Genomic DNA, 6,676 nt, shown 5'->3' on the forward strand with positions numbered 1-6,676 from the left:
ACCTACACATATTCTAGAAAAAGTTTGCTGAAATCTAAGAGCAAGATTTTGTAAACTTTTGAAGTGATGTTTACAATGAAGGGTTGACTTTTAGAATCAAACGAAGCTTTAGACACAAATATGCTAACTCATTCCCTTCACTCCCTTCCCAGAAAGAAACTCTGATGTTAGTATCTCTCCCGCTCATGTACCAATTCTACATGTTTGCAGCTGTGACAAGTTGCATAGCATCACCTTCAGTTAAGTGATACCACAGAACCACAGAAGTTAGTTTTTCTCCATATTATATTTTATGCTTAATTATATTCAGTAAGAGATCCTAATCTTTGTGACTTGCATATTATGCTAAGTCTCTAGTTCTTTAATAAGCTTCATAAAGTTCATTTTCTACCACAAAAATAAAGTGGTTCTGCCTTTATATTTGTCTCATAGGCCCAATAGAAGCAAATGCAGGTATGATCTGGAGAAGCATATCTTGAATCTCAAAAAGTCAGGACAGACAACACCATAAGAAACAGCAGGGGGAAAAGAAAAAAGCAGAATCAGGCTCAGAACTACAGGTATTAAGAGATAGGAAATAGAAAGTACCAAATGTATAACTTTAGAAAAAGATACTCAAGAATGACCAGGCAGGTTTGCAATGAACCAACTCACTTCTTGAAGTAGGTCAAAGTGGTACGTAGGTATCAACTATGCAATTGCACTGTTATGTGTGCCTTAGAACATGGTTCTCATTAGTGTAGGTATAGCTGTTGGAATTAAAAAATAGTATCACTCTTTGTGGGCATCATTCTTGGGCATCTAAAGAAGTTTTAGAAGTACATGGAGGCATGCGTTGTCTTCAGAATGATATGAGCACATGCAGGCGTACCTCACTTTGTTGCATTATAGACACTGGGGTTACCAATTAAGTTTGTGACAATCCTATTTCAGGCAAGTAAATGGCACGATTTTTACAACAGCATGTGCTCATTTCATATCTATGTCACATTTTGATAATACTCACAAAATTTCAAACTTTCATTGTTATAAGTGTTACAGTGATTAGCATTCTTTGTAATAATTGTAACTGTTTTTGGGTACCATGAACTGTGCCCATATAAGAAAAACTTAATTGATAAGTTTGTTCTGACTGTTCCAGTGACTGATTATTCCCTCATATTTCTCCTCCTGCCTCCCTAATCCCTGAGACGATATTGAAATTAGGCTGACTTAATAGCCCTAACAATGACCTCTAAGTGTTCAAGTGAAAGACTGGTATGTTTTTCACTTTAAAGCCAAAGCTAGAAATGATTAGATTTAGTAAGGAAAGCATGTTAAAAGCTGATATAGGCCAGAAGTTAGGCCTTTTGCACCAAACAGTGAAGTTGTAAAGGCAAAGTTACTGAAGAAGTTTTACTCCTGTGAAGACATGAATGGTAAGAAACAAGATAGCTGTATTGCTGATAGGGAGAACATTTCAGCCTTCTGGGTTGAAGATCAAACCAGCTATGACATTCCCTTAAGCCAGAGTCAAAGCAAAGCACTTACACTATTCAAATCTACGAAGGCTGAGAGGTGAGGAAACTGCAGAAAAGTTAGAAAGTAGCAAAGGTTGAGTCCACGGAGTTTTAGGAAAGACGCTGTCTTCATAATATAAAAGTGCAAGGTAAAGCAGCAAGTTATCCAGAAGATGTAGCTAAGGTAATTGGTGAAGGTGGCTACACTAAACAGATTTTCAATGTAGAAACAGCCTTCTATTAAAACAAGATGTCATCTAGGACTTTCATAGCTAGAAGTCAATTCCTGGCTTCAAAGCTTCAAAGAACAGGCCGACTCTTGTTAGAGGTGAATGCATCTAGTGATTAAGTTGAAGCCAATGCTTATTTACCATTTAAAAAATCTTGGTGTCCTTAAGAATTATGCTAAATCTCCTCCGCCTGTGCTCTGTCAATAGAATAAAGCCTGGATGACAGCACATCTGTTTACAGCATGATTTGCTTAATATTTTAAGCTCTCTGTTGAGACCCACTGCTCAGAAAAAGATTCCTTTCAAAATATTAATGCTCACTGACAATGTGCCTGGTCACCCAAGTGCTCTGATGGAGATGTACAAGCAGGTATTTTTTTCTTGCTTGGCAACACAACATGCATTCTGCAGCCCATGGATCAATGAGTAATTTTGACTTTCAAGCCTTAGAGGGATGCATTTTGTGAAGATATAGCTGCCATTAATTTCTCTGACGGATCTGGCAAAGTACATTAAAAACGTTCTGTAAAGCATTCAACATGGCCAATTTCTTCCATTTGGAACAGGAGCATTTATCCAATACCTGTACCCCCACTGTATCTTGGAAGTGACTAACTTGCTTTTGATCTTACAGACTCTTAGGCGCAAGGGACTTGCTTTGTCTCAGATAAGACTTTGGACTTGGACTTTTGGGTTAATGCTGAAATGAGTTAAGACTCTGGGGGATTGTTGGGAAGCCATGACTTGTTTTGAAATGTAAAAAGGATGTGAGATTTGGGAGGGCCCAGAGGCAGAATGATATGGTTTGGTTCTTCTTACCCAAATCTCACCTCAAATTGTAATCCCCAAAATCCTCATGTGTTGGGGGAGGGCCCTGGTGGGAGGTGATTAGATCATGGGGGTGGTTTTCTTCATGCTATTCTCATTATAGTGAATGTGTTCTCACAAGGTCTGATGGTTCTACAAGTGTTTGACAGTTCCTTCTTCACATGTTCTCTCACCTGCCTTCGTGGGTGAGACATGCCTCTTCCCCTTCTGCCGTGATTTTAAGTTTCCTGAGGCCTCCCCAGCCATGAAGAATGGTGACTCAATTAAGCCTCTCTTCTGTATAAACTACCCAGCCTTAGGCAGTTCTTCATAGCAGTATAAAAATGAACTAGTACAGCTGTATTCTAGAACTATTTGTGAGAAAGTTATCCTCCAGTACTTGAGTTTGGATCAGTCTTACCAAGCTAATCACTAGAAGAGATGTAGAAATCTTTTATAGTTCCAAATGAGAACCAAGGGAAATTTGATTACTTGAAGAGAGTAAATGAAGATGAGATCTCCTTTTCAATGCTTTTGTAGCCAAGAACCTGTCAGGAAGAACACAAATTCTTCCTATTCAGTGCAATAAATATGGCTGACAAACTCATGTGATTTAGGAAGTGTCATTTTGGTGCTACAGATGAGACCACTGAGACTGTACTTTAACCTGCTAGAAAAATATGATGGCCCTAGAAGAGGCAAGCCAGGGCATATCTGAAGTCATTCATAAAAAAAATAGGCTGGCCAGGTGTGGTGGCTCATGCCTGTAATACCAGCACTTTGGGAGGTTGAGGTGATCAGATTACCTGAGATCAGGAATTCGAGACCAGCCTGACCAACATGATGAAACCCTGTCTCTACTAAAAATAAAAAAAATTAGCCAGATGCAGTGGCATGTGCCTGTAATCCCAGCTACTTGGGAGTCTAAGGCATGAGAATCGCTTGAATCCGAGAGGCGGAGGTTGCAGTGAGCCGAGATTGCACCACTGCATTCCAGCCTGGGCAACAGAGCGAGACTTCATCTCAAAAAGAAAAAAACATAGGCCTAAGGGGACAGTCTGAAGGAATGCTGAGTACAGGAGAGAAAGTATTACTTTAAGGAACATCTTAACTAGGATGATACCGGAGTCTTCTGACAAGTTAACCTAAGCTTCATTTTTATAAATGTGGAACTCTTCACCTTAGCTTGCTTTAGAGATTGTTAGTTTAGAGACTCAGACAGTTATTCTACAAGGAGGATAAGGAAGGAATTTCCCTGCAGAGACACACAATCTCAGAACTGTGCCGTAGTCTGTCTTCTCCCAAACCCTCCTTTCCTCTCATTCTACAAATGTCAGATCTGCATCATGGTCAGAGGCTCTCCCTACCTACTGTTTCCCCTCATTTTTTCCAATTAAAGAAATTCCCCCAGTAGATTTTTTATCTGATTGCATCTTGGCATCTGATTCTTGGAGGACTCAAACTAGTGCACTAGCTAATACGTTGTCACTGATAGACAGAGACAGGGATCATCCTTCTAAGCCTCCTGCTCCTACCTGCCAATTGCCAGTGTGACTAGAGTAGAAGGAATCCCTGAAGAGTTATATTCAAAAGGAATATTGATTTATTGCAAATGAGTTTTATATATCCATTGAGTTAAAGCTTTATTTCTGCTCTTAAGAGTGAAACATTTAAAATAAGTTACTATAAAATATTATTGGCCGAACACTGATCTGTGGAGAGGCTGTCTACATTCTTTGAGAAAGTGGAAGCTACTGCAATAGCCTTAAGGAACTTTTCAGAGAATCCCTTTGACCTTCGAGTTGGAAGCTTGTTTGATTAGATCAAGGGCCAGCAAACTAAGACCTATGAGTCAAAACTGACCTGAAGACTGTTTTTGTACAGCCCAGCAAGCTAAGAATGATTTTTAAGAGGTTGTAAAATAAGAGGAGAAGAGAAGACTTTTGTGACCCCAAAGCGTTTTATTTATATATATATATATATATATATATATATATATATATATATATACCATCTTGCCCTGTTGCACCAAAAGCTTTCTGACTCCTGAATTACAGTCATCGATTCCAAGATGAGAGATAAGGTAGAGCTGCCCAAGTCCTCCTTAGTACCACTAGAAGATGCTTCATATATGGAGACTAGCTAGCAGTAATGCTTCACTGGGTTTTCCACCCCGGTATTTCAGTCTGCTAGCCATGGTTCATGATAGCTGAATGAAATCAAGTAGGTCATGCTCAGCATTTAACAGCATGATAGAATTTTAGTGTCCTTCATACTAAGTGTAAGCTGTTTCACAAAGCTTGTTTCAGTTATAAACATAGGTGTATGTGTTCCAAGTCATGCTATAAGTTACTTATAAATACTGGTTGCAGTCAAGTGTTTGAAAGCTACTGTTAATTTATTGCTAGATTCTTACACTTATCAGCAAGGTTAATGCCTAGCTAGTACTCGTCCTAAGCCAGGTACTACATAGGGAATATACATGCATCCCTTTCAATCTTTAAGTTATTCCAGTTTTACAGATGATGTCAAGGTCCAGGGATTAAGCAAGTTCTCAGATTAATACAGCTAAGTAAACAGACTAGCTAACATCAACCCAAGTCTAATGCCAAAGTCATACTTTTCACAAGAACACTTCTTCCTGACAAATTAAAATGACTCAGTTACAACTGGAGGAACTGAATAAATAGAAGGTATTCCAAGTTTTTCTTGGAAAAAGGGGTCCCTTGCAGGGTACTTTTATAATATGAAGGAAAGGTCAACTGAGAAGACTTGAGATAGTACACGTCAACTACAATAGCGTATGTCTAGTATAACCCCAGAAGGAGGAGGTTAAAGTCCCAAATGAGGTAAAGCCATTTGGGTAGTATGTTTTCATCAAAGTCATGGCTTTTGTCATGGCTGGAGTCTTCAAATGTAGAAATCCTGCCCTTGAGAGATAAGGCTGAATTCACTAGAGGCTGAAGTTTCAAATCACATTTCAGTAGGTAAATGAACTATATGAGAAGCTATTTTGTGCTAGGCTGTGTATCAGTTTTCATATGTTCCCATTTGGCTTTCAGACACCTTCAGAGGGCAGTGTTCCATTTTATTGAGGGAGATCTGAAGAGATGAAGTGACTTGCCAGAGCACAGGTCCAGTAAGTGTCAGGTTTCAAGTTCTTTGAGTTGAGATTCAGTCATTTGAAAGCCATTTATCTAGTGGAATAACACCCTGGGTTTTTTTTTTTTGTTTTTTTTCTAATGGAGTTTGTGTGTCCGTTCAGTAGGAAATGGAATGGAATTAAACCACGTTCTAAATAAAAGCCAGTGCTTTTACTGTAGGAATAGTCATTCTTCACTTTAACTCATGACTCAAGCTTTCTTTGAAAAAAAGTTTACTCAGATAAACACGAGTTTCATAGAAGTCAGTTATTCTACCAGTAAACTCAAACCTTGTGCTCACATTTAATCAACATTGTATTACAGGTATCATCATCTCTACCTTTTGTGAGTGTTTAGCCCCTCATCGGTCTTGGTTTACTTCTGCTAGTGTTAAAATTTTATGTCTGGTACTGTACAATATTGCTGATACTATACAAGCTTAACATAAATTAGTGGACAAGCTAGTGTATAGATGTTTTAACTGCATTGTCATAGAAATCCTTGGTGCATTGTTATATAGATGTTTATGGGTACTTTAGCAATATTTGAAGAAATTGAGGTTTTAGACAGGCTGTTTTTCCCCATTTAGGATAAGCTAATCCTTCTATCCAAGTGTGTCCTATCCAAAATGTTTTCAGGAAAGGATTAATCTTTGATAAAAATTAGATGAAATTAAATATGCACTTTATTGTATCTCAGGCAAAACTAAATAAGAGACATAATGAAGGAGTCAGATGCTTGTCCTTGTGTGGAGAGACACCAGGTGATGACTACAGACACGGACCAAGCCAGGTGCACTGAAGTGGCCATAAATACCTAGTGGCATTGTCTTTAATATGCCTTTACAAAATAGGTATACTTTGTTTTCAGAACTTTATCAAAAGTCAGCCTTATTCTGAGGTGATGCATTCTTGGAAACTATTAACCAGTATAAAAGTTCCAAGATCAGATTTAATTATTTTTTAATCTGCACATAAGTTATTCACTGTGTTGGGCT

General features: G+C 38.4%; 1 annotated feature.

Moving 5' to 3' along the window:
• Positions 3,817–3,986: an enhancer, noted in NCBI's record as "experimental_8598 CRE fragment used in MPRA reporter constructs". NCBI's record gives its function as "activates a minimal promoter by MPRAs in K562 erythroleukemia cells, with activity observed for both the introgressed and non-introgressed 1:56332074 variant alleles {active_cell/tissue: K562}" and the evidence as "EXISTENCE:reporter gene assay evidence [ECO:0000049][PMID:34662402]".

Source organism: Homo sapiens, chromosome 1 (assembly GCF_000001405.40).
Source record: "Homo sapiens chromosome 1, GRCh38.p14 Primary Assembly".
NCBI classification, from domain to species: Eukaryota; Metazoa; Chordata; class Mammalia; order Primates; family Hominidae; genus Homo; species Homo sapiens.